At 38.7% G+C, this 27,490-nt stretch overlaps 1 protein-coding gene across 12 annotated transcripts in view, besides 7 other annotated features; it reads right to left on the bottom strand.

Annotated features, from left to right (window-relative positions):
* The window catches only part of ADAMTSL3 (ADAMTS like 3), a 385,720-nt gene that overhangs the window by 246,721 nt on the left and 111,509 nt on the right, over positions 1-27,490 (bottom strand). For all 12 annotated transcript variants that reach the window (XM_011521823.3, XM_017022434.2, XM_011521822.3 and 9 more), the window contains exon 4: positions 19,472-19,599. In XM_011521823.3, the coding sequence (XP_011520125.1) occupies positions 19,472-19,599 (128 nt within the window). The remainder of the gene's footprint in view (positions 1-19,471; positions 19,600-27,490) is intronic.
* Positions 7,145-7,314: an enhancer, noted in NCBI's record as "experimental_41638 CRE fragment used in MPRA reporter constructs". NCBI's record gives its function as "activates a minimal promoter by MPRAs in K562 erythroleukemia cells, with activity observed for the non-introgressed 15:84454645 variant allele {active_cell/tissue: K562}" and the evidence as "EXISTENCE:reporter gene assay evidence [ECO:0000049][PMID:34662402]".
* Positions 10,843-11,012: an enhancer, noted in NCBI's record as "experimental_41636 CRE fragment used in MPRA reporter constructs". NCBI's record gives its function as "activates a minimal promoter by MPRAs in K562 erythroleukemia cells, with activity observed for both the introgressed and non-introgressed 15:84450947 or rs12910446 variant alleles {active_cell/tissue: K562}" and the evidence as "EXISTENCE:reporter gene assay evidence [ECO:0000049][PMID:34662402]".
* Position 10,927: a transcriptional cis regulatory region, noted in NCBI's record as "Neanderthal adaptively introgressed variant 15:84450947 (GRCh37/hg19 assembly coordinates) or rs12910446 in the experimental_41636 CRE". NCBI's record gives its function as "modulates activity of the experimental_41636 enhancer by MPRAs in K562 erythroleukemia cells {active_cell/tissue: K562}" and the evidence as "EXISTENCE:reporter gene assay evidence [ECO:0000049][PMID:34662402]".
* Positions 16,646-16,815: an enhancer, noted in NCBI's record as "experimental_41632 CRE fragment used in MPRA reporter constructs". NCBI's record gives its function as "activates a minimal promoter by MPRAs in K562 erythroleukemia cells, with activity observed for the non-introgressed 15:84445144 variant allele {active_cell/tissue: K562}" and the evidence as "EXISTENCE:reporter gene assay evidence [ECO:0000049][PMID:34662402]".
* Positions 16,912-17,081: an enhancer, noted in NCBI's record as "experimental_41630 CRE fragment used in MPRA reporter constructs". NCBI's record gives its function as "activates a minimal promoter by MPRAs in K562 erythroleukemia cells, with activity observed for the introgressed 15:84444878 variant allele {active_cell/tissue: K562}" and the evidence as "EXISTENCE:reporter gene assay evidence [ECO:0000049][PMID:34662402]".
* Positions 16,912-17,126: a biological region, named in NCBI's record as "ATAC-STARR-seq lymphoblastoid active region 9974".
* Positions 17,077-17,126: an enhancer, noted in NCBI's record as "active region_9974". NCBI's record gives its function as "activates an Ori minimal core promoter by ATAC-STARR-seq in GM12878 lymphoblastoid cells {active_cell/tissue: GM12878}" and the evidence as "EXISTENCE:reporter gene assay evidence [ECO:0000049][PMID:35858748]".

Here is a 27,490-nt window from a genome sequence, read left to right as displayed (position 1 = left end):
TCTACATATGAGTGAGATTATGTGGTATTTGCCTTCCTGTGCCTGACTTACGTCACTTAAATACTGTCTTCCATGTTCATCCACATTGTCACAAATAATAGGATTTCCTTCATTTTTCATGGCTGAATAGTATTATATTGTGTATATATACCATTTTCTTTAACCATTCATTCACTGATAGACACTTAGTTGTTTCCACACCTTGGCTATTTTGAAAACACTGCAACAAACATGGAAGTGCAGATATCTCTTTGATATCTTGATTTCATTTCCTTTGGATATATATCCAATAGTGAGACTGCTGGATCATATGATTTTTTTTTTTTTTTTGAGACAGAGTCTCACTCTGTTGCCCAGGCTGGTGTGCATGGTGTGCAGTGGCACAATCTCGACTCACTGCAACCTCTGTCTCCCAGGTTCAAGCGATTCTCCTGCCTCAGCCTCCTGAGTAGCTGGGATTACAGGCATGTGCCACCATGCCTGGCTAATTTTGTATCTTTAGTAGAGACAGGGTTTTGCCATGTTGGCCAGGCTGGTCTCTAACTCCTGACCTCAGTTGCTCCACCCGCCTCAGCCTCCCAAAGTGCTGGGATTACAGGCATAAGCCCAACTGATATCTCTAGTTTTAATATCTTGAGGAACGCTTATACTGTTTTTCATAGTAGCTGTACCAATTTACATTCTCGCCAACAGGGTGCAAGGGTTCCCTTTTCTCTGCATCCTTGCCAATACTTGTTGTCTTTTGTTTTTTTAATAGCCATCCTAACAGGTGTGAGATGATACCTCATTGTGGTTTAGGTTGCATTTCCCTGATAATTACTGATGTTGAGCATTTGTTCATATATCTTTTGGCTTACATCACTTAAATACTGTCTTCCATGTTCATCCTATGTATATCTTTTAAGAAATGTCTATTTGGGTCCTTTGCCCATTTTTTAATCAGGTTATTTTTTTCTTGCTACTGAGTTTGTCATATATTTTGGATATTAACCCCATGGCAGATGCATAGCTTGCAAATACTTTCTCCCATTCTGTAGGTTATCTCTTCTCTCTGTTGATTGTTTCCTTTGTTGTACAGAAGCATTTTGGTTTGATGTAATCCCATTTGTCCATATTTTTCTGGCTTTTGGGGTCATGTGTAAAATAATCATTTCCCAGACAAATGTCATAGAGCTTTTCTTCTGTTTCTTCCGGATGCTAAATTTCTTACATTTTAATTTTTAATCTATTTTTAGTTGATTTTTCTTTTTCTTTTTTTTTTTTGAGACAGAGTCTCACTCTGTCGCCCAGGCTGGAGTGCAGTGGCGCATCTCAGCTCATAGTAAGCTCAGCCTCCTGGGTTCACGCCATTCTCCTGCCTCAGCCTCCCGAGTAGCTGGGACTACAGGCGCCCGCTACCATGCCCGGCAATTTTTTTGTATTCTTTTAGCAGAGATGGGGTTTCACCATGTTAGCCAGGATGGTCTCGATCTCCTGACCTCGTGATCTGCCCGCCTCGGCCTCCCAAAGTGTTGGGATTACAGGCGTGAGCCACTGCGCCTGGCGTTAGTTGATTTTTCTATATGGTATGAAATAATTTCATTCTTCTTCATGTGGATATCTAGTTTTCCCAACACCATTTATTGAAGAGACAATTGTCTTTTCCCTGTGTTCTTGACACCTTTGTAAAAAATCAGTTGGCTGTAAATGTGTGGACTTATTTCAGAGCTCTGTATACTGTTCCATCGGACAACCTGTCTGTTTTTATGCCATTGCCATTGTGTTTTGCTTACTACAGCTTTGTAGCACATTTTGAAGTCAGGTAGTATAACGCCTCCGGATTTGTTCTTTTTGATCAAGATTGCTTAATTTATTTGAGGTCTTTTATGGTTCCATACAAATTTTAAGATTGTTTTTTTCTATTTCTGTGAAGAATGTGACAGATTTTGACAGAGATTACACTGAATCTGTAGATCACTTTGGGTAGTATCAACATTTTAATATTATTTTTTCCAATCTATGAATGTGGAATATTGTTCCATTTATTTGTGTCTTCTTCCATTTCTTTCATCGGTGTTTTACAGTTTTCATTGTAGAGATCTTTCACCTCCTTGGCTAAATGTATTCCTAGGTATTTTATTAGGGTTCCTCTTTCATTAGCACATTGCAGTATTAGGCGTACAAGTCCTATACATGTTCTGTTAGATTTACACCTTAGCATTTAACTTTTCTGAATGATTATTAATGGCACTGTATTTTTAAATTTTGTTATCTATGTGCTCATCACTAGTAAGAGAAATACAATTGATTTCTGTATTTTTATTTTGTATCCAGGACCTTGCCAGACTCACTTGTTAGTTTTAGAAGTTACCTTGTAGATTTCTTGGGATTTTCTACGTAGACAAAAATGTCATCTGCAAATAAAGACAGTTGTATTTTTCTTCTCCTATGGTAAGAGTGGTGAGACAGACAACCCTACCTTATTCTATACCTTAGGGGGAAAGTGTTCAGTCTTTCACCATCAATTATAATATACAATATTAGTTAAAGGTTCTTAAATTTTTTATCAAGCTGATATCTGTTTCTATTTTTCTGAGAGTTCTTCATGAATTGGTGACTTTGTCAAATATTTTTTCTGTATCAATTGATAAGATCCTATACATTTTTTCTTCCTTAGTCTATTAATTAGCTAGATTACATTGATTGACTTTCAAATACTGAAACAGCCTTACATTCCTCTAATAAACCCCATTTGGTTATGGTCTATAATTCCTTTTATATCTTTCTTAATACTTTTGACAGGATTGTATTAATAATTTTTACTTCTATATTCATGAGATATATTGGTTTGTTGTTTTCTTCTTTATATAGTCTTTGTATGGTTTGGTATCAAAGTCATACTAGATCCATAAAATGAATTGGAAAGTATTCCTTCTCTTCTGTTTTCTGGAAGAAATTATATGGAATTGTTGTAAATTCTCCTTTAAATGCTTGGTAGAATTTGCCAGTGAAACCATCTAGGCCTTAAGATTGAGGAGAGAGAGTTTTTATACTATAAATTCAATTTTCTGTAATAATTATGGTGTTATTTAAATTACTTATTTCATATTAAGGATATCTTTTGATTTCTCAGCCCCAGAAAAAGGTAAATCCTAAGATGGCAGTGGGGAATTCCTAGAAGCAACTCAATTAGCTCTGCAGAACTCACAAAAGACTTCAGAAGTGGTAAATCAGATACTTTTGAAAGCAGGATAAAGTTGGGGTCAAAACAGTATGACTGATTGAAAGTCTGTTTAAAAAGAGATTAAATTTCCAGCTGACCTCCCTTACTTTGGCATGACTGTATGTTATTATCTAAAGAGGGTAAAACAGTAATTTTCTGGACCAAGAGATAACTGGGTACAACTAAGGGCAAGAGTACTATACTGAAAACAGGGATTAAATACAAATTAATGTATTTAATGCTGAGATCCCAGCTTTCTGCCTCACTTGGTTCCTAAAATATTGGACTCAGAAGGGCCTTCACTGGGAAATCAAAGCATTTCAAAATAGAACACCTAAAGACATCATCAGGCAATGAGATGTACTGGCCACATCTCCCTCCAGTTAAGCTCATAGCTCCTTTCCTTAAACTTGAATAAACAAACAAGGATCACCAGAAATCTCAGAAAGACCTCTAACCTTAAATACAGTGACAAAAAAAAAATTTAAAAGAAAACAGCAATTTGGGAGGAACTGAGACTATGCAAGGTGAAAAAAATTTTCCTCCCAAATGTCTATTCATACTCTCAGAGATGAAACAGAAGATACTGCATCTGGGAATCAGGGACAGAATTCTATTCCTAAAAATTCAAGGAACAAAAAATAACTCAGGAAAAAATATATGTATAGAAAGAGATAAAATACTTAGTAAAGAGAGTGAAAAAATAAATTTAGATAAATCTCCTGGAAGGCAGGGCAAATGAACAAAGAGAAAACTGGAAGATCTAATATCTGAATAATGGGAGTTTCAACAAGAAAACAGAGGAACACGGCTGGGTGTGGTGGCTCATGCCTGTAATCCCAACACTTTGGGAGGCTGAGGCTGGCAGATCACCTGAGGTCAGGAGTTTGAGACCAACCTGGCCAACATGGTGAAACCCCATCTCTACTAAAAAATACAAAAATTAGCCAGGCATGGTGGCACGTGCCTGTAGTCACAGCTACTTGGCTGGCTGAGGCAGGAGAGTTGCTTCAACCCAGGAGGCGGAGGCTGCAGTGAGCCAAGATCAAGCCACTGCACTCCAGCGTGGGTGACAAGAGCAAGACTCTGTCTCAAAAAAACAAAAAGAAAAAAAGAAAAGAAAATAGAGGAAAATGAATAGAAGAAATCATCAAGGAAATATTTCAGGACTGAAGAGAATGAGTTTTTATAGTGAAGGACTCTCTGAGTGTCCAATACAACAAATGAACATAGACCCACACCAAGGCATAACGTTAGGAAATTTCAGAACACTGGGGGAAAATGTATGTTTCTACATGCATCCAGAGAGGAGGAAAAAAGAGCAGGCAATCCAGATGCCTTTAGATTTCTCAGTAACATTACTTGATGTTAGAATATGGAGCAAAGCCTTCAAATTTCTGAGGGAAAATCATTTCTACATAACTATATATATGGAAAAATCATCATTCAAGTTTGAGAAGAAAATAAAGATCTTTTCAGATAAGCAGGAAGCTTCTGGAGAATGTATCCATAAAAATGAGGAGGAAAAAGGAAGGTGATTAGGAAACAGGAGATCTAACACAGGAAAGAAGTAAATGACCCTCCCAGGATGACAGAAAAATGAGATTCCAAGATGCCTCCTGAATTTCTTGTTAGACAGCAAGTAGCTCAGCTAAAGGTTAAGAATTCTCCAGAAGAAGGGTCTAAAAGAAAATTAAAGTGAATGAAAATTAGAAAAGTGAATGAAATTAGTGAAGTGAAAATTAGAATGATGACATTTTTCTGAATTAGTGATAAGCATGTAAAAACTAAGAAAACAAGCAAATAAAAAAGCAAGGTAATTATTGACTCTAGTGGAAAAAAAACTCAGGAAAGGGAAAATAATTGCTGTATATTACATGACATAGCTGTGAATAGTATAGAGGCATAATTTAATAACATGTCTTTATAATAATAATATACCTTCATAATAGTTTAATGAAGGCATTAATAATAATATGCCTTCATAATAATTTAAAAACTGCATATTGGCCCAGTCAAAGTTATATAAAACTCTGGGGTATGGGACTGGAAGACAGACTGGAGGGAGAGGTTGAGAAAGGAGAAAGAGGAGGGGGAGGGGGAGAGAGAAAGGAAGAGAAAGGAGCAGGAGGTGTGAAAAATTGTTAAATCTTCATCTATAGTATGACTCTAATGCGTAGTGCCTACAACTGAAAGATCAAGAAGCAGCAATATAAACATGTTATTTAGAAATGTGGATAAAACACCAAGAGAATCAGATAGAATTGTTAACAGTAGTTGCCCCTGGTGGGTGAGGAAATGGGAGGAAGGGAATCAAGAGGCTGTTGTTTTTCACCTCAAGCCTACATGAGTCATTTGGCTCTTTAAACTATATACATGTACATTGTTGAAAAAAATGATGTTTTTAAATATTTGTTAAAAGTCCATACTCCCCAACATAGTTTTCAATATTCTTCATAGAATTACCCATCCTTACCTATCCCACAGACCCATACTATAGTCATGGAGTTTTTTTATCAACCCAGAAATACATTACTTCATTTCTCTATTAATTTATGGAATAAAATGTATTAAATTTATACCATACATCAATAATCATGTGGGCACAGCATAAAGAGATGAATTACACCATCTATGCCACCTAAAATTTTGTCTCAATTGTGGAAACAGAAAAATAAAACAATACAGCGGAATAAACACTCTCACAACGGTATTCATGAGATCCTACGGAAACACTAGAAGAGTCGCCCCTGTCCTAGTAAAGAGTGAGAATTGCCAATGAATGCAAAAGGAAGAAATGAGGACTCAAAAGGCATTTTTATGATCAACCATGTGTCAACCAGAACAAGGAGAAAAGGATGATTTAGGCGGAAAGAAGAGCATTGGCAAAAGATGCAAGGCGATAGTGAGCACACACTCATTTATTTACTCCTTCAATAAATGCTATTTGGGTCCTCATCACATGTAAGAAACTATGTCAGATCTCGGAATGATGAAGTCATTATCCCTTCTCAAAAACAGGTCCTAATTTGCCAACAATTTTAGTACTATAATGGATGCAAGTACTATATTCCATTTAGTACTATATTCCATTTAGTACTATAATGGAAGCACAACACAGGAAGACCAAAGTTTAACCAGTCAAGATAGGCTTCCTAAAAGAGCATGACCTTGAAGAATAAGTAAGAATTAGCCAGATATCACACTAAAAATAGACAAAAAAATACAGGATAAGACGCAGGTGGTTAAAACAACAGACACATAAAAGCGGCAGGTTTGAAGCGAAGGAAAGAATATTAGGTAATAAATAATGCCATAGCAGTATTTAAAACGTCACTAGGTTGGGTACAAAAACATAGTTCAATAGAATGAATAAGATCTAGTATTTGATTGCACAATAGGGTGATTACAGTCAACAACCATTTATTGTACATTTTAAAATACCTAAAAGAGTATAATTAGAATGTATATAACACAAAGAAATGATAAATCCTTAAAGGGACGAATACCCCATTTACTTTGCTGTGATTATTATGCATTGTATTACTGCATCAAAATATCTCACATAAATATATACACCTATGTACCCATAAAAATAAACAAAGAACTCCACTAGAAGTTAACAGATCAGAAAAAAAGTTCAAACCAGGCGTGGTGGCTAACGCTTGTAATCCCAACACTTTGGAAGTCTGAGGACTGTGGATCACTTGAGGTCAGGAATTTGAGACCAGCCTGGTCAACATGGTGAAACTCCATCTCTGCTAAAAACACAAAAATTAGGTGGATGTGGTGGTGCACACCTGTAATCCCAGCACTCTGGGAGGCTGAGGCGGGCAGATCACTTGAGGTCAGGAGTTTGAGACCAACCTGGCCAACATGGTGAAACCCCATCTCTACTAAAAACAAAAATCAGCCAGGTGTGGTGGCACACGTCTGTAACTGCAGTTACGTGGGAGGCTGAGGCAGAAGAATCACTTGAATCTAGGAGGCAGAGGTTGCAGTGAGCTGAGATCGCACCACTGTACTCAAGCCTGGGTGACAGAGTGAGACTGTCTCAAAAAAAGAAAAAAAGTTCATATGACAGCTTGAAAATCACCCCTACGTGCACAGAAAAAGAAAAAAAAAAGAGGAAAGTAATTAAAGAGAACATGATAAATGTGAAAGACAGACAGAAATTACTGGTATTCATGAAGAAAAAGCCAAAACAAATGGGTAAGAACCAACAGTGAATAATATAATAGAAGAAAAATCTTCCTACCATAGAGAAGGATCTAAATCTGTACCAAAAAGTTGGTCACCATGTGCCAGGGTAAAATAAATATTATGACACTGACAGCTAGACATGGCCTTGTAAAACTCTTGAACTTAAGGGAAAAAATAAAGACTCCTATGGGCAGACAGGTTATCTAAAAAATAGGTTATCTACAAAAAAACCAGCTGGCCTGGGAGGTCTATAAGCAACACCGTACACCAAGCTTTATGGGAAAGGAACTACCAAGTCTTAAAAGGAAAAGGTTGTATCTTAGGAATTTTATACTCAAATAAGCCATTCACTGTTTATGTGTGAAAGCAAGAAAAAGTCATTTTCAGATATATAAGAACTCATAAAGTATAAGACCTACAACTTTTTCCTGAAATTAAAAAGTCTATAAAATTTTGCTGCTTGAAGTGTGGTCCATGGACAGGCAGCACTGACATCACCTGGGAATCTGTTAGAAATGAAAGCTCTTGGGCCTCATTCCAGATCTACTGAATCAAAGTTTGTATTTTAACAAGATGCCTAGGTGATTCATATGCACACTAAAATTCCAGAAGCACAGCTCAAAATGTATCTCTGCCAACAAAGCTATCATTCAACCTGAAGAACTGAATGCTCAAAGGAAGAAATGGGGACTCAAAGCAGCAATTGACAATCAGCATTGAAATAATGCTGCTTGTGTGCACACACACACAATTAAGATAGACAATGAGTGTTGAAATAATGTATACACACACACAATTAAGTTTCAACCATGCTTTGACTACCATGAAAGAAAAGATATAAAGAAAAAAACTGCCAATAAACTGAAGATAAAATCCCAAATTCTAATAATAAACTCAAGAAATGGGAATAAAGAAAAAAAAGCCTAAGTAATCATCATTTTACATAAGGAGAAATCAAAAGAAATTACTAATGACAGAGATAGTTATAAAATAATTATTAAAATGTGGTTTTTAAGTATATATTTAATATCAGTAAAATAAAAACAAGATATGTGTATAATTTCCAAATTAGCAGAGGTAAAATTTCAGGGAAAAATTTAAGGAAAATGGAGAGAGGAGGAAAGATTTTAAATAGAGATTGTAATCTGAGCGTATATATTGAACTTCCCCCTTACAAATTCCCATTGAAATGATAGTATGTTAATAAGTGAATAACTCTGTATCGTACCTGGAAATTCACAGAAGTTATACACAAGGCAGAAACTTTAGGTGATTATTGCTATACATAGGGTAAGCAAGACTGAATTAAAAGAGAGTACATAAACTATTCACTGTACATAAAGGAGAAGTCTGCCTTTGAAGTAAAGAAGAGATCCACAGGAGAATCCACAAATTCCCACTACATTAGAGTGGCAGATGATATAGCCAATTCCTGCCAATCAGTGGCATAGGGGCAGTTAGTCTAAGACAAAAGTGTAAGGGCACATAAGGTCTCACTCAATGAGGGTCCCTGTAAAACACTCAGTGCCTACGTGGGACAGGGTATTCTGGAGAGATGAAATAAAATGCAGACACTCCAGAAACTATCTCCAAATGAAGGAAAGCCACAAAATAATAAAAAACGAGATTCACTGACACAAAGGCAATGTTTTTTCTTGTGAATGCCTTCAACTGCAGCTTCCTATTCAGTCCCCATAATAACATAAAGCTGCAATAGGTCTAAAGCAGCAACTCTTTAGGCAGAAGAAGGGTATTTTTCCCACAGGCAGCCATAACTGAATTTGCAAGGGACTTGATCAAACTTTGACTCTAATCCAGATCCCTGATATTTGAAGTAAAGGAATGTGGAGACACACACACACACACACACACACACACAGAGTATATATGCAGATACTTTTAAAATTTGCTCTTCCTTTTTTTTTAACTTCTTAAATGGCAGCTTGCACCACTTTTTTTTTTCAACCAATTTTTCTTTTCTAATATGTGTATTCAGGGCTATTAAACTTCCGTATATGGGTGAATTTAGATGTATCCCCATGTTTTAATATATTTTCATGATTCCTCTATTTCTGCTAATGCTTCTTCCTTTAAATTCTACTTTGTCTGATATTAGTATAGGTATACCAATTTTCTTTTCATTTTGGTTCACATTATAGCTTTTTTCCATGCTTTTATTTTCAGTCTTTCGGTATCCTTGTATTTAAGGTTTGACTCTAGTAAACCACATAAATTTTGTTTTATAGCCTAACAATCTTTTGTCTTTTAACCAAAGTAATTAGTCCATTTACATCTAATGTAAAATATATATATTCTGGGGTTCAAATCTACTGTTTTAGAATTTGTCACAATTGCACTATGTTCTTTTTTCTCTCCTTTCTTGAACCCTTTTGGATCAATCAAGTATTTTAGCATGATTCTATTTGCCCTTGTGATATCTGAATAGTTATACATTGTTTTATTTTGCTTTTAATGGTAACCTTAGAAATTGAACGTGCATCCCAGACTTTTAAAAGTTGAAGGTAAATTGTCTATTTTACATTTTTCTGAACAATTCAAGGACATTTGAACACTTTAAATTAATTTTACTCTCTTCTGAATTTTATATTATTGTTTCTATGTTTTTAAAGTTCTACATACATTTAAACTCCAGAAAACATATTGCGCTAAACAGTATATATATATAATATATACGTATATATGTATATATAATATATATGTGTATATATAATATGTATATATATAATATATGTATATATAATATATATGTGTGTATATATACATATAATATATATATATATATACGCTATCCATTGCTCTTTCTTTTATAATTTAACCTTTATTTTAAGTTCAGAGGTACATGTGCAGGCTTGTTATATAGGTAAACTTTTCCCATGGGGGTTTGTTGGACAGATTATTTTGTCACCCAAGTATTAAGTCTAGTACTCATTAGTTATTTTTCCTGATCCTCTACCTCCTCTCACCTTCCACCCTCCAATATGTCCCAGTGAATGTTGTTCCCCTGTATGTGTCCATGTGTTCTCATAGTTTAGCTTCCACTTTTAAGTGATGACATGTGGTATTTGGTTTTCTGTTCCTGCATTGGTTTGCTAAAGATAATGGCCTCCAGCTTCATCCATGTTCCTGCACAAGACATGATCTCATTTTTTTATGGCTGCATAGTATTCCAGGGCATATGTACCACATTTTCTTTATCCAGTTTACAATTTGTTTTTTGAGGAGGAGGAGTCTCACTCTGTCACCAAGGCTGGAATACAGTGACATGATCTCTACTCACTGCAACATCCACCTCCCATGTTCAAGAGATTCTCCTGCTTGAGCCTCCTGAGTAGCTGGAATTACAGGCACCCGTCACCATGCCCGGCTAATTTTTGTATTTTTAGTAGAGATGTGGTTTCACCATGTTTGCCGGGCTGGTCTGGAACTCCTGACCTCAAGTGATCCACCCACCTCAGCCTCCCAAAGTGCTGGGATTACAGGCATGAGCCAGCACACCTGACCCCAGTCTTTAAGTGATGGGAATTTAGGTTGATTCCATGTCTTTGCTATTGTGAATAGTGCTGCAGTGAACACATACATGCAAGTGTCTTTATAATTAAATGATTTATATTACTTTGCATATATACCCAGTAATGGGATTTTTGGGTCTAACGGTTATTTCTGTTTTTAGGTCTCTGAGCAGTCACTACACTGTCTTCCACAAAGGTTGAACTAATTTACACTCCCACCAACAGCGTATAAATGTTCCCTTTTCTCCACAATCTCACCAGCATCTGTTACTTATTGACTTTTTAGTAACAGCCAGTCTGAATGGTGTGACATGTTATCGCATTGTGGTTTTGATTTTTATTTCTCTAATGATCAATTATGAGCTTTTTTCTCGTATGACTTTTGGCCACGTCTTCTCTTGAAAAATGTCTGTTCATGTCCTTTGCCCACTTTTTAATGGAGTTGTTTGTTTTTTTCTTGTAAATTTAAGTTCCTTTGTCAGATACATAGTTTGCAAAATTTTTCTCCCATTCTATAGGCTGTCTGTTCACTCTATTGATAGTTTCCTTTGCTATGCAGAAACTTACTAGTTTAATTAGATGTCATTTTTCAATTTTTGCTTTTATTGCAACTGCTTTTGGTGTCTTCCTCATGTAATCTTTGCCCATTCCAATGTCCATAATGGTATCGTCTTCCAGGGTTTGTATAGTATTGGGTTTTACATTTAAGTATTTAATCCATCTTGAGTTAATTTTTGTATATGATGTATAGAATTGATCCAGTTTCAATCTTCTGCATATGACTACCCATTTATCCCAGCACCAATTATTGAATAGGAAATCCTTTCTCCATTGCTTGTTTTTTTGTCAGGTTTGTCAAGATCAGAAGTTGTAGGTGTGTGGCCTTATTTCTAGGTTTTCTATTTTGTTCCATTAGTCTATGTGTCCATCTTTGCACCAGTATCATGATGTTTTGATTACTGTAGCCCTGAAGTATAGCTGTAAGTCAGGCGGCATGATGCCTCCAGCTTTGTTCTTTTTGTTTAGGACTGCCTTGGCTATTCAGGCTGTTTTTTGGTTCCATATGGATGTTAAAATAGTTTTTTTTTTCTAGTTCTGTAAATAATTTCAATGTTACTTGAATAGAAATAGCATTGAATCTATAAATTGCTTTGGGCAGTATGGCCATTTTAACAATATTGATTCTTTCTATCCATGAGCATAGGATGTTGTTCCATTTGCTTGTGTCATCTCTGATTTCTTCAAGTGGTGTTTTGTAGTTATCCTTGTAGAAATATTCTACCTCCCTGGTTAGCTGTATTCCTAGGTATTTTATTTTGTGTGTATGACAACTGTCAATGGGATTGTGTTCCTGATTTGGCTCCTGGCTTGACTGTTGGTGTATAAGAATGTTAATGATTTTTGCACATTGATTTTGTATCCTGAGACTTTGCTGAAGTTATCAGCTTAGGGAGCCTTTGGCCTGAGACTATGGGGTTTTCCAGATATAGGATATGTCATCTGCCAACAGGGATAGTTTAACTTCTTCTCTTCCTATTTAAATGATCTTTATTTCTTTCTCTTGTCTGATTGCCTCATCCAAAATTTCCAGCACTATGTTGAATAGGAGTAGTGAGAGAGGGCATCTTTGTCTTGTGCTGGTATTCAAGGGGAATGCTTCCAGCTTTCACCCACTTGGTATGATGTTGACTGTGGGTTTGTCATAGATGGCTCTTATTATTTTGATGTATATTCCTTGAATACCTACTTTATTGAGAAGTTTGTTTTTTTTTTTTTTTAATGGAGTTTCACTCTTGTCGCCCAGGCTGCAGTGCAATGGCAGGATCTTGGCTCACTGCAACCTCTGCCTCCTGGATTCAAGTGATTCTCCTGCCTCAGCCTCCCAAGTAGCTGGCATTACAGGTGCCCGCCACCATGCCCAGCTAATTTTTGTATTTTTAATAGAGACAGGGTTTCACCATGTTGGTCAGGCTGGTCTTGAATTCCTGACCTCAGGGGATCCACCCGCCTCAGCCTCCCAAAGCTCTAGGATTACAGGCGTGAGCCACTACACCCGGCTCATTGATCTTTCGAATGGTTTTTTTGTCTCTCAATCTCCTTCAGTTCAGCTCTGATTTATTTCTTGTCTCTGCTAGCTTTGGGATTGGTTTGCTCTTGGTTCTCTAGTTCTTTTAGTTGTGATGTTATGTTGTTAAATTGAGATCTTTCTAACTTTTTGATGTGGGCATTTAGTGCTACAAATTTCCCTCTTAACATTGCCTTAGCTGTGTCCCAGAAATTCTGGCATGTTGTATCTTTGTTCTCATTAGTTTCAAATAACTTCTTGATTTCTGCCCTAAATTCATTATTTACCCCAAAGTCATTCAGAAGCAAGTTATTCAATTTCCATGTGATTGTATGGTTTTAAGTGATTTTTTTAGTCTTGTTTTCTAATTTGATTGTGCTGTGGTCTGAGAGATTGTTTTTCCTTTTTTTTTTTTTTTTTTTTTGAGATGGAGTCTTGCTCTGTTGCCCAGGCTGGAGTGCAGTGTTGCGATCTCGGCTCACTGCAAGCTCTGCCTCCCAGGTTCACACCATTCTCCTGCCTCAGCCTCCAGAGTAGCTGGGACTACAGGCACCTGCCACCACGCCCGGCTAATTTTTTGTATTTTTAGTAGAGACGGGGTTTCATTGTGTTAGCCAGGATGGTCTCGATCTCCTGACCTTGTGATCCTCCCACCTCGGCCTCCCAAAGTGCTGGGATTACAGGCATGAGCCACTGCACCCAGCCGAGATTGTTTTTTATGATTTCAGTTCTTTTGCCTTTGCTGAGGAGTGTTTTACTTTCAATTGTGTGATCAATTTTAGAGTAAGTGCCATGTGGTGATGAGAAGAATGTATATTCTGTTGTTTTGGGGTAGAGAGTTCTGTAGATGTCTATCAGGTTCATTTGATCCAGTGCTGAGTTCAGGTCCTGAATATCTTTGTTAATTTTCTGTCTTGATGATCTGTCTAGTATTGTCAGTGGGGTGTTAAAGTCTTTTATTATTACTGTGAGGGAGTCTAAATCTCTTTGAAGGTCTCTAAGAATTTGCTTTATGAATTTGGGTGCTGCTGTGTTGGGTGCATATATATTTAGGATAGTTCGGTCTTCTTGTGAATTGAACCCTTTACCATTAAGTAATACCCTTCGTCTTTTTAAATTTTTCTGGTTTAAAGTCTGTTTTGTGTGAAACCAGGATTGCAACCTCTGCTTTTTTTCTGTTTTCCATTTTTTTGGTAGATTTTTCTCCATCCCTTTATTTGAGCCTATGTGTGTCACTGCATGTGAGATGGGTCTCTTGAAGACAAGCATACCAATGGGTCTTGGTTCTTTATCCAGCTTGCTACTCTGTGTCTTTTAATTGGGGCATTTAGCCCACTTACATTCAAGGTTAGTATTGATATGTACGGATTTGATCCTGTCATTATGATGTTAGCTGGTTATTTTGCAGACTTGTTTATGTGGTTGCTTTATAGTGTCACTGGTCTGTATTCTTCAGTATGTTTTTGTAGTGGCTGGTAATGGTCTTTCCTTTCCATATTTAGTGCTTCCTTCAGGAGCTCTTATAAGGCAGATCTGATGGTAATAAATTATCTCAGCATTTGCTTGTCTAAAAAGGATCATATTCATCATTCACTTATGAAGCTTAATTTGGCTGGATATGAAATTCTGGGTTGGAATTTATTTTAAGAATGTTGAATACTGGCCCAGAATCTCTTCTTGCTTGTAAGGTTTCAGCTGAGAAGTCTGCTGTTAGTCAATGGACTTCCCTTTGTAGGTGACCTGACCTTTCTCTCTGTCTTTAACATTTTTTCTCATTTCAGCCTTGGAGGATCTAATGGCTATGTCTCTTGGGATGATCTTCTTGGGAAGTATTTTACTGGGGTTCTCTGCATTTCCTGAATTTGAATGTTGGCCTGTCTAGCTAGTTGGGTTCATCCATGAAGTTCTCATGGATGATATCCTGAAACATGTTTTCCAAGTTGGTTCCATTATCCCCCTCTTTTTCAGGGACACCAGTAAGTCATGGATTTGGTCTCTTTACATAATCTCATATTTCTCAAAGGTTTTGTTCATTCCTTTCATTCTTTTTTCTCTATTCTTGTCTGACTGTCTTATTTCAGAAAGCCAGTCTTCAAGCTCTTAGATTCTTTCCTCCACTTGGTCTATTCTGCTATTAATACTTGTGATTGCATTACGAAATTCTTGTATGGTGTTTTTCAGCTCTCTCAGTTCAGTTACACACTCCTATACTAGTTATTTGGTCTGCCAGTTCCAGTATTGTTTTATAATGGTTTTTAGCTTCCTTGGACTGGGTTTCAACATACTGCTATAGCTCAAGGATCTTCATTTCTGTCCATATTCTGAACTCTGTTTCTGTCACTTCATCCATCTCAACCTGGTTCAGAACACTTGCTGGAGAGGCAAGGTGGTCATCTGTTGGAAAGAAGGTGCTCTGGCTTTTTGAGTTGTTAGGGTTCTTGTGCTGATTCTTTCTCATCTTTGTGGGCTTATCTTCCTTTAATCCTCGAGGTTGCTGACTTTTTGCATAATTTTGTTTCTTTTATCCTATTTTTTTAATGACCTTGAGGGCTTGATTCTAGTATAAGGTGGATTCAGCCAACTGGCTTCATTTATGAAAGATTTTAGGGGGCCAACACTCAGCTCCCAATACCTGGACTGGATGTTCTAATTCTGGGGTACTTGTATTGGGCCCCAACTTTGTTCTCTGGCTCCTTGATGTTAGGAATCCACTGCACTGCAGGGGCCAAAATGTTTTTGGACTGCCGGTCATTACACTCTGATGGCTGATGTCAGCCAAAGCATTTCACAGCTTGATGACAGTGGGATCCATACTCATTTGCACATATCAGCAGCAGTGGTAGTGGCAGCTACGGTGGAGTGCTACCAGGTGCCGGGGGTCCTGCCTCTCTGTAGGCATTCACCACAATGGCAGAGGCAGTGCAGCTAGGGGTGGGCAGGAGGCCCCTGTTGGTGACTGTGTGTTCAGTCATGCTGGAGGTGGTGTTGGCTCAGGGGCGGGGCACTGGCAGATGCAGGTCTGAGTGCCTTCTGTGTGCCCCACAAGTAGGAGTGGTTGCTCAGGGTGGGGTAGGATCCACTGTTCTCTGCACAGTGTTAGCCCAGGGTGGGATGCTGGCTGACTCTGTGCCCACCAAGGCTCTGTCTGCAGTGGCAGTCAGCAGGGGACTGCCATTCTGCTCACTCTCATCTAATTGTTCTGCAGGCATAAAAGGCTGTTTTCATTTCCTGCTTCAGGATACTTACATATGCTGCTCCCACTATCTGAACTTTTTTGGTCTCATAACCCTTCCCATCACATAACTGATTTCTTCTTAGCAGTAATATCTCAGCATAAACATGCCCCAGCACAGAGGGCTTCCCTGACCATTTTATGGATTTTCTTAACACAATTTTTTTTTTTTGAGACGGAGTTTCGCCCTTATTGCCCAGGCTGGAGTGCAATGGCGCAATCTCAGCTCACTGAAACCTCCACCTCCCGAGTTCAAGCAATTCTCCTGCCTTAGCCTCCTCAGTAGCTGGAATTACAGGCATGTGCCACCATGCCCAGCTAATTTTGTATTTTTAGTAGAGATGGGCTTTCTCCATGTTGGTCAGGCTGGTCTCAAACTCCTGATCTCAGGTGATCCACCCGCCTCGGCCTCCCAAAGTGCTGGGATTACAGGCGTGAGCCACTGTGCCTGGCCAGTGACATAATTTTTAATTATATATAATTTGATTGTTTGTTTATTGTTTGTCTCCTTAGATATAAGAACCTTGAAGGCAGGATATGTGTTAGTTTAATTCACTGGAGTTAAACTCCTTACCCACATCAAGGGAATTAAAAGGTTCTGGAGCCAGAGACTTACAGGAAGAACTTCTGAGGATTTCATTGAGAAAGGTGTGCTGTGAGCCTACCTCTCATTCTGCACCATCAAGGAGAAGGGATGAGGGCTTCAGTCTGCTAACCCCAAATCAAGAGGAAGAAATTTTAAGGATACCACTTGAAGAGTTCAATATGTGTCACCAACAGTTGCTTGGTGTTTAATTCACACCTGAGAAATTTAAGGGCTGAGAGAACAGCTGCAGCAGCCCATGTAAGCAGAGTAGGTGTTGCAGCACTGGCTCCCTGGACTTGAAGAGTTTGTTTAGCAAAGTTTACGTGAGGGTTTCCTGTGAACCAGATGTGGGCACGTGCATGAGTGCCAGCATGTGGTTGTCTTAGGAACTTACCAAGATGGCCACAGAGGGGTTAGCACATGTAAATAGGGAGAAGCTGGGGGCATGTCTAGCAGTCTCAGAGCTGAGGAAAGAGCAATATTACCAAGCCAAAGTGTTGTGAATAGCACATTTCAAGGGAATTGGACGCAAGAAATCCCAAGGAATTTGGGAGGGCAAAGGCAATTTCTCAGAAAATCCATCAAAGTGCTCACAACAGTCAGCTTAAGACACTTGCCAAACAGAGAACACCAATACCTGCTCTCAACAATAAAGCCAAGAACTCTCCTGCCTCCCTTTCCTCTCCTTTTGCCCAAGTCTCCCCTTCTGAGTACGAGTAGAAAAGATGGAAGAAGTTGAACAACTGCCCTTCCCTACCTTCAGCCTTCTGGAGATATATCACTTGGCAAAATTATGTTCCAAGCAAAATCAAAGAAATTTTAAAAATGAACCAAATAATAAATAAATATGCGAACATTTTAGTTGTATGACAATAGGATGAAAGTGGTTATTCATGGTCCTTAATATATTCCTCTAAATTCTCTTTAACAAACGCAAGTACGTACTAGAAAAAAAAAAAAGACCAATGCAAATAAATCCCACACCTTTCCCACTCTAACCCTACCACTAATTGCAAATTATTCAGACTTCTGAGACTTGAGGTTTAGAAAGAGATGTCAAAGTTCTCCCTTCCCCACTCATTCCCAGGCTGGAAACTTCTCCCCCATGTGGCTGGCCAGCAGTGGGAAAGAACTCACCCTTGACATAAGAAGCCCCCTGGCTGGGCATGGTGGCTCAAGCCTGTAATCCCAGCACTTTGGGAGGCCGAGGCAGATGGATCATTCAGGTCAGGAGTTCAAGACCAGCCTGGCCAATATGGTGAAACCCCATCTCTATTAAAAATACAAAAATTAGCCAGGCATGGTGGCAGGCACCTGTAATCCCAGCTACTTGGGAGGCTGAGGCAGAAGAATTGTGTGAACCTGGGAGACAGAGGTTTCAGTGAGCCCAGATCCCACCACTGCACTCCAGTCTGGGCAAGAGTGAGACTCCATCTCCAAAAAAAAAAAAAAGCCTCCTCCCCTTGCCCACAGGGTGTAGCTCTCCTATTGCAGCCTCCTTGGCAGAATAAATATATCCCAAAACAACATGATACCCCATCATTCTTCTACACAGCATGACACAGAATACCAGGGCCTATATCTGCTCACCAAGGTGGAAATATGGGGAAGCAGGCATAACACATTCTCTTTGCAAGAATAATCCCTGGATTTAGTTCTCCAATGCTTTACTGAAGCTTCCATGCTCTGAGTTAGAACTCGCCCTGGGGGAATGCTACCACAGTACCTCCAGCAACCTTCCCAGGCCTTCCTGGAGCAGACCGGTGAGTCTTTCTTCTCAAAGGCCACATGTACAATCTCTCATCTGCCCTGCTCTGCAATGTCTCAAGGAAACTGGAGGACATACTTGGTCACTGTTTAATGTATGGTAGAACAGTGACCTCAACAAAATCCAAACTCCAGCCAAAATATGCTCTCCCTGCATTTCTACTCTGTATCTTGAAGCTAATCGGCAAAGGCCAATTTACTCTTTTGCCTAACAATATCCCAAATCTGAAGATGACTGACATAATCTTGGAATCTTCTTTTGTACAAGACTAGCACATCAGATTCCATCAATCTGGGGCTCTCTCTTACCTAAGAGCTGATGCAAAATCCTTGACTGGGAATTAAACTGTCCCATAAAGCATTACCTTGAAGTGTCTCAAAAACAATGATAAGCACAGGCTTATTACAAATTTACAGATTTTTAAAAATAAGCTGATTTTACATTTTTGCAAACATTATTTAACATAAACATATCTAAAATGTGAAAACAGAACTTGCATCATGTTCCTAATCGACGGGTTGCTCAGAATAGATGAACAAGAACTGGACTAAGTTGCAGCAACCCAAGGGCAGAACTCAGAAGACTTGACCTCTTGCTCCAACTCTTGACAACTTTAAACCAGTGACTTAAAGTGCCAGGATTTCCTTTCCTCAAAGCCCAAAGTGTCCAGTGCTCCTGGGTCCTGTGCGCAACATGGCCACACCCACGAAAACGGGACCATGGCTGCTTAAATATGTTAACCTAGGTTGACTAATATTTAGACAAAGCAAACGTTACACCATCATCACAGTACATTCCAAAGCCATATAAAGTTATCTCTCCTCTCCACCCATCCAGAGGCACTGGCACATTCCACATGCAGGAGCAAGTGAAGCCACCACTAACCTTCCAGTCAAACATCTCCGCAGAGAATATGATGCTCCTCCCCCACAGGTCCGGGAGCAGTCACTCCAGTCGCCCCAAGCATCCCAGTTGCCATCTTTGTCTTCATCTGAACGAGTGTTTCTTGAGGTCTAGATGTTAAAAAGCAAACAAACAAAAAAAAAACCACACAATAAAGTATAGGCAAATGTGGTAGAAATATCCCAAATCTTCCCCAGTTATTCCAGAGTCACCTTTTTTTTTTTAATTGAGACAGAGCTTCGATCTTATTGCCCAGGAGTGCAATGGCACAATCTCGGCTCGCTGCAACCTCCACCTCCTGGGTTCAAGCAATTCTCCTGCCTCAGCCTCCTGAGTAGCTGGGATTACAGGCGCCCACCACCACACCTAACTTTTGTATTTTTAGTAGAGACAGGGTTTTGCCATGTTGGCCAGGTTGGTCTTGAACTCCTAACCTCAGGTGATCTGCCCGCCTCAGCCTCCCAAATCCAGAGTCATCTTCTAAGCTCTTCACAAAGACCAATGTTACCCAAAAATGCTTAGCTTTGGAATGACTGCATGAAAAAAAAAGACAGGTTTATATGAAAAGCAGTTGACACATGCATGCCTTTCCACCTTAAGGTTTTGTCGAGATAGCTTTTAAGCTCAGTATTATATCTGAAATTTTATCATTGCTAAATTTAAATAAATTGGCTAAATATCAATTATATTATTCTGTTTTCTAACTTACATAGCAGGGACCCTGCTTGAGCCTAAACCACGTCTACCAAAAATACAAAAATCAGCTGAGTGTGATGGTGCGTGCCTGTAATCCCAGCTACTCGGGAGGCCAAAGCAGGAGAATCACTTGAACCAGGGAGGCGGAGGTTGAAGTAAGCCAAGATTGTGCCACTGCACTCCAGCCTGGGCAGCAGAGCAAGACTCTATCTCAGAAAAAAAAAAAAAAAGAAGTGCTCATGAGTGAAATTCTGACTTGCTTGTGTGTCAGGCAGACTGGCGGTAACTCCCAAGAAACCTTGCATAAGGATTTGTGGAACCTCCTGAGAGAATCTCCATTCCTAGAAAACAAAGTCATATGAACATAGTTGGCCAAGTTATAAAGGTTTTGAATCCAAGAAAATAGGGAAGAGTCAATTATGAGTACAGTTTGGTTTAATTGGTCTCCTAGACTTTCCACCATTGACTTAATTCAGAATACTACAGAGAAGAAGGGAAATTACAAGTAAAAAGTACATAGATGTAGGTATAGACCTGAAAAGAAATAAAGCTCATTATTAAGTTACAAAACTTTACTAAGGGGTCTAAAATATACTTGAATAAATGAAGAAACAACCATAGTCCTGAATGAGTAGACTCAATACTGTAAAATGCTACTTCTCTCCAAGTTTATCTATAAGTTTACAGCAAGTCCCATCAAAATCCCCAAAGAAAAATTTTTGAAACATAACAAATGTTTCTAAAGTTCATCTAGTGGCATAAATACCTATAAGAGCCAAAGGAGGCCGGGCGTGGTGGCTCATGTCTATAATCCTAGCACTTTGGGAGGCCAAGGTGGGTAGATTTCCTGAGCTCAGGAGTTCAAGACCAGCCTGGGCAACATGGCAAAACCCCATCTCTACTAAAATACAAAAAAACTAGCTGGACGTGGTGTCACATGCCTGTGGTCCCAGGTACTCGGGAGGCTGAGGCACCAGTATTGCTTGAACCCGGGAGGCAGAGGTGACAGCTGAGATCGTGCCACTGCACTCCAGGCTGGGTGACAGAGCGAGATTCTGTCTCAGAAAAAAAAAAGAAAAAAAGCTAAAAAATTGTGAAGGAAGATAGAATTACTATAGAATTACTATATGATCCAGCAATCCAACTTCTTGGTATTTATCCAAAAGAACTGAAATCAGGATCTCAAAGAGATATCTGCACACTCATTGTTTGCAATAGCCAAGACATGGAAGCAACCCAATGTCCATCAACAGATGAATGGATAAACAACATGTGGTATACACACAACGAAATGCTATGGAGCCATTAAAAAGAAGGAAAGCCTATCACATGCCACAATATGGATGAATCTTGAGGACATTAGGTTATGTGAAACAAGCCAGTCACAAAAGACAAATACTGCATGGTTCCATTTATATGAGGTATCTAACATAGACCGACTCATTGAAGCAGAAAGTACAATAGTGGTTGCCAGGGACTGGGGTGATAAGGAAATGAAGAGTTACTGTCCAATGGGTATAAAGTTTCAACCATGCAAAATTAAAAAGTTCTAGAGATCTGCTTTTCAACATTGTACTTATAATTACCAATACTGTACTATACGCTTCTAAATTTATTAAAAGGGTAGATCTCATGTTACAAGTTTTTTTAAACACAATTAAAAGAACTCTAAAAGAAGTAAAATGAGAGGAAAATTGTCTCAATTAAGAGTAGAGAATTGGCACAGCAATAAACAAATGGACCTATTAAAATAAAAAAAAAAAAAAAAAGAGTCCAGAAACAGATCAAGTATAAGGACACAGTATAGCACCACAAATCAATGTGACAAATGTTTTGTGGGCTTTTTGTTTGTTTTGTTTTGTTTTTGACATAGAGGCTCACTTTGTCACCCAGGCTGGAGTGCAGTGATGTGATCTCAGCTCACTACCACCTCCACCTCCTGGGTGGGTTCAAGCAGTTCTCCTGGCCCAGCCTCCTGAGTAGCTGGGACTACAGGTGCCTGCCACCACACCCGGCTAATTTTTTGTATTTTTAGTAGAGATGGGGTTTCACCGTGTTAGCCAGGACAGTCTCGAACCTGATCTCATAATCCGCCCGCCTCAGCCTCCCAAAGTCCTCGGATTACAGGCATGAGCCACCATGCCCGGCGTGTTTTGTGTTTTTAAAAATCATAGATAACTTCTTCATAGAATATACCAAAATAAATTCCAGATCTATTAGAAATGTATGTTAAAATACTGAAACCATAAAATATTAGAAATATTATAGATTAATAGATTAATCTTGGATATACCTACACCAATAGTTGTATAGGAAAGACTATCTTAGATATAGCAATAAAAGTAGAAATTATAAGGGAAAAGACTGATAGGTTTAATTACATTAAAATAAAAACACATATATCATTTTCTATCTCTTCTCTACAGATAAAGCTATAGGCATAGGCGTATATACGCAAAATGTACCAGTAAAAGAACGCGTATGTAGGCTGGAGGTATATAGGCTGGAAACATACCAAATTAGCTCTAAGAATGGAGTAAGTAGGACTAGGAACGAATGTTGTTGGGAAAAGACAGGAAATGAACTTCAACTGAATGTTTAATTTTCCCTAGTCCCACCCAGAATATGATAAATTGTTAAATGCCAGTTTTATTACTATTTGAACTTTCATGGTTTTTGAAATTTCTATTTTAAAAATATTGGGGTGGGGAAAAAGACAATCATTAGATAATCATATTAAATCCATATCATTTTTCATGCATGTATACTTTGTACATGCATAGGGAGAGGAGTGAGAGGTTAATTAAAATATTACCATTGCTACCTCTATGTGTGAGGGATTTGGGTGACTTTAACGTATTTTTGTTGTTGTTGCTGTTTCTCTGCATTTTGTAGACTTTTCTTAATAAAACACATCATACCTTAATTAAAAACAAGGAAGCAAACAAACAAAAACCACATATTCTTGGTGTACAGAAAAGTTCAAGTCAGACAGAATTTAATAGGTAAGTTCTAAGCTGGAGAACAGCAAAGTTTATGAAAGAAACTGTGACATACTAATAAACTGCAGCATGTGACTGAACTAGATACTGCAAAGGTTTCCTTAAGCCCTTAGGCAAGTTACCTCATCTAACCAAAAAAAAAAAAAAAGAAAAATTAAATTAAAAGAGGGACCTGTGGAAAGGACCTTCAAAAGTGAAATGAAGAAATAATGACTGGAAGCAAAGAGGGGGTTTTCCAATAATTTTCACTCAAGTCTCACTGGTCAATGGGCTTTATGGCTTCTTGCCAAGCTACCTATTTATAGCACAGTAAGCAGTCCTGCTAGAGGCAATATTTCAGTAACAGTCAAGTGAAAGGAAAGGATAAATATCTGGTGACTGATCAAATCTGTCATCAGGAATAGGGGCTAATTAAACCCATACTATTTACTGTTCTAATTAGACCACTGTTCAGTTCAATTTTCTATAGTAAACGTCACCAAACATAACTGTGCCCTGTCTATAACATAATAAAAAATAAAGTTTTAATTCACAAAAGATACAATAAGCAGTTTAATACATTCATCTGGACTTTTAGGTTGGGTAAGTCCAAATCATTTAGGTAAATGTTTAAAATATACACAGCTGAAATTGATTTTTCATTTTGTCACTCGATATACCAAAAGGTTGAATGTGAAAAGTTGAAAAACATCATCATATATATTTTTAAATGAAAGTTGAGAGTTTTTGCAATACTGTTTTAATTTGTTTTTATTCCCACTATTCCATCTGTTCAGTTCATAGTTAGAATCAGGTTTCTTTCCATAACTTCTCTACCTTAACTTACAAAAAAAAAAAAGAATCTTGATTCTAAAATAACTAAAATAGGCATGTTATAAGTGCAAGCATTTGGCTTCTCTGATTGGATAGGTAAGATATTTTCCCTCTAAGAAAGTAGAGCACGAATGGCACCTCAAGAGGGGTCCTTGAGTGTTTCTCCTCTCCTCAGCCAGGAAGACGCTTGGATTTTGTTTTGAAACCCCAATGCCGTCTCCAGCAGCCAGCCCTTCTGCCTTTTTAATGTATTATTTCTCTGGAGAGTAATAGCAATAATATCCCAGATTTCCACCCAGTTCTGCTCTCTTCCCTTTCATCCTAGCAGCATAATGATAACACAGACATTCAGAAATAACTCCACTGAAGCAGAATGAAGCGCCACTTGGGCCATTGCTGAAAATGTATGTTTGCGTCGTCTTCCTTGCAGTGAAACAGAACCTGCTTCCCTGGAGCTTCCATGCCTCTAGAGCAGTGGACAGAGCCTTGATCCTCTTCTACAGAAGAGTCCTTCTCAAGCTTTCTGAAGGCCTCCTAGTTCCTTCTACGTTCCCAGATCCTTTGCAACTATGCTCTCTCTTGGCGCACATCGAAATTTGCACATTTTAAGTCTTAAAATGTAGGGTCCAGAATACAACACTGAATCTAAGAACACAGACTATACATTGCACCTATGATCCAGGTTTCTTCAGATAAAACCTAAGTTTCCTTCTTCTCTCCCTCCCTCCATTCCTTCGTTTTTCAGCCAGCCCATTTGTTGGAATCTGCTCTGGAGACAGCATCACATAATAGTTAAAAGCTGTTTGACTCTGAGTTTCTTAAACTTTCTAAAACTCATCTATGAAATGGAGATGATAATCTTTACCCAAACAAGATTTAAATAAAATAACACATATAAAGTACAGGCAGCATCTCCACGCATGCAGTTGGTGAGTATCTCAATAAGGGTAAGCAATTGTTTTTCCTCTTCAAAAATAATGTGTCTTTTTCAAAACAATGATGGGAGAACCAGCTCTCTCCCATTTGTACTTATGCAAGACTTAACATTCATCACTACTGAATTTCCTCTTGTTGGTTTTGGCCCAGAATACCAGCCTGTTGAGATCTGTTTGAACCCTGATCCTGTCACCCTATCTACGAGCCACTGTGCTCAGCTCTGCAGCTTCCGTGTCTTCACTCAAGTCCCTGATAAATGTGTGGGACATAGCTCTCTAATCTTACAGCATTCCATTAATGCATATTTCTGCTTTTTAAACTAGTAAGCCGACCATAATGCCAAGTAAGCAGCCAACTAATCAGACTTGGAGTCTGTGAACACAGTTTAATGTTACAATAAAAATATGAAATAATACCAATTACCGTCATCAAATGTCAGGAGGCAGAAAGGTTTGTGGGGAGGGAAGAAATCAGCCATCAGAAGGAACTGGATCCGGCAGGGTGGAACCTGTATTCTTGGGCTGCATGGTGGTGGTAAACCTCCTGAGAGAAGCGGTATGTAGCAGCTCCACATTGGTTAGCCCCAGCTCTGAAGGTTAATGACAATAAAATACAGCTGACTGATATCAGCTGGCTCTTTGGCCTGATTGTAACCCAGGTGAATGTCTGTGTTTGTCAGTTGAGTATAGCTGCTCCCAATTCCCCCTGTTCAAACATCTCTTTAGGTTGTCTCAAGTAATTATTTAAATTCCATGTTGTTATTATTTTATATGGTAAGTTGTTATTTGGACCCAATCCAAGTGTGCTTCAATCAATATCATGTCACTCTGTGACCCTGTCTGGGGCCAGAATCTGAGGCAGAGCATGGAAGAAGACCTGAACAAGCTTGTCCTACATAACGCAAGCACTGTTAACCATTATTAATGCACAGCGTGAGTACTGCCTGCCAGTACTTTTCCCACCTTCTCTCTAACCTTCTCAGCAAGCCCTTTAAGATAGATATCACCATCCCCATTTTGCAGGTGAACAACTGTGGCTTTGAGAACCATGTGTGTCCAAGGCTCATCGATAATTTCTTTTATTTTTCTTTTTGAGACGAAGTCTTACTCTGTCACCCAGGCTGGAGTGCGGTGGCACAATCTTGGCTCACTGCAACCTCTGCCTCCCCGGTTCAAGCGATTCTCCCACCTCAGCCTCTCAAGTAGCTGGGATTACAGGCACTCGCCACCACGTCCGGCCTGTTTTTGTATTTTCGTAGAGACAGGGTTTCACCATGTTGGCCATGCTGGTCTTGAACTCCTGACCTCAGGTGATCCGCCCGCCTAGGCCTCCCAAAGTGCTGCGATTACAGGCATGAACCACTACGCCCAGCCATCATCTATAATTTCTAATGTCATACAATGAACGTGTATAATTTTACAATAAAACATCCAATAAAAGTTATTTTCTTCTTAAAGAAGGGGCCTAGGCAGAAGCGCTTTCTGTCTTACCCCAGACAAAGCCTGCATTTTCTTTATGGACATCTGTGTGTTTTCCCCACTGATGCTCCACTTCCTTTCACGACCAGGAATCCAGTCAAATACAGCAGCCCAGCTATCATCACTCACAGTTAGCATTTCGCCTCTTGGATCAAATACATCTGCTGCTGTGATCTGCTTGACCACAACATTCTTTCGATATCTCTATGAAGTCTTTTACTTTTTTCCCCCTCTATATTGCAAGTAGAGCTACACTTCTGCTTTTCAAAAGTATTTCATTTTATCTAGCTTCTTTCATGAGGAATTCGCATTTCTGACTGATGTTCATGAACTCACATGCATTCGTTCATTTTCTCACACAAACTATACCAAGAGCTTGCTAAGTTCAAGGCTCTGTGCTCAGTGCCCTGTGAATACAATGTGGATCTGGCCCTCAAGTAGCTCACAAATCAATGAGCATCAGGTGAGAGGGACAAGGGCTGTGGTGAGGCAATGGCAACCTTTGGTTGTCAAGAGCAACAGACACAAGGGGCCCAGGGGAAGGAGACCCTGAAACAGGAGCAATTTGTACCTTGGTTAGGAGAGCTGGGATAGACTTTCCACTGAACATACCAACCCTGCTGGAAGCTGGAAGCACCTCATGTATCCCTATCACCTTCTTCCGTATGATAGGTTACATGTGAGTCCTTATTTTGTGCTCACCTCTGTTTTCTAATTGTGATGGAATTACAAACACTTTTTACTTTCTTCTTTTATGATCATCTATAATTTCTAATGTTATATGACAAACATGTATAGTTTGCACAATAAAACACCCAATAAAAGTTCTTTTTTTTTAAAGGGAAAAGGAAAACACTAAAAGGAAAGCTATGAAAACACTTCCAAAGAAGCAGTATGCACTTTGTGTTGTTTGGTTCAAATTATCAGGCTTAAGGATCTCTTAGGAAATCATATTTTCCTAAGTAAAGCTCTAGCTAGGGAATATTTTGGATGAAAAATTCCAAAAAAGATATTGTTTACTCATTATATAATAGGGTTGGTAAAAGCCAAAAATATTGTAGGAATAAGTATGTTCA

Source organism: Homo sapiens, chromosome 15 (genome assembly GCF_000001405.40).
Source record: "Homo sapiens chromosome 15, GRCh38.p14 Primary Assembly".
Lineage (NCBI taxonomy): Eukaryota > Metazoa > Chordata > Mammalia > Primates > Hominidae > Homo > Homo sapiens.
The sequence above is the reverse complement of the archived record's forward strand: the minus strand, read 5'-3'. Positions and strand labels throughout refer to the sequence as shown.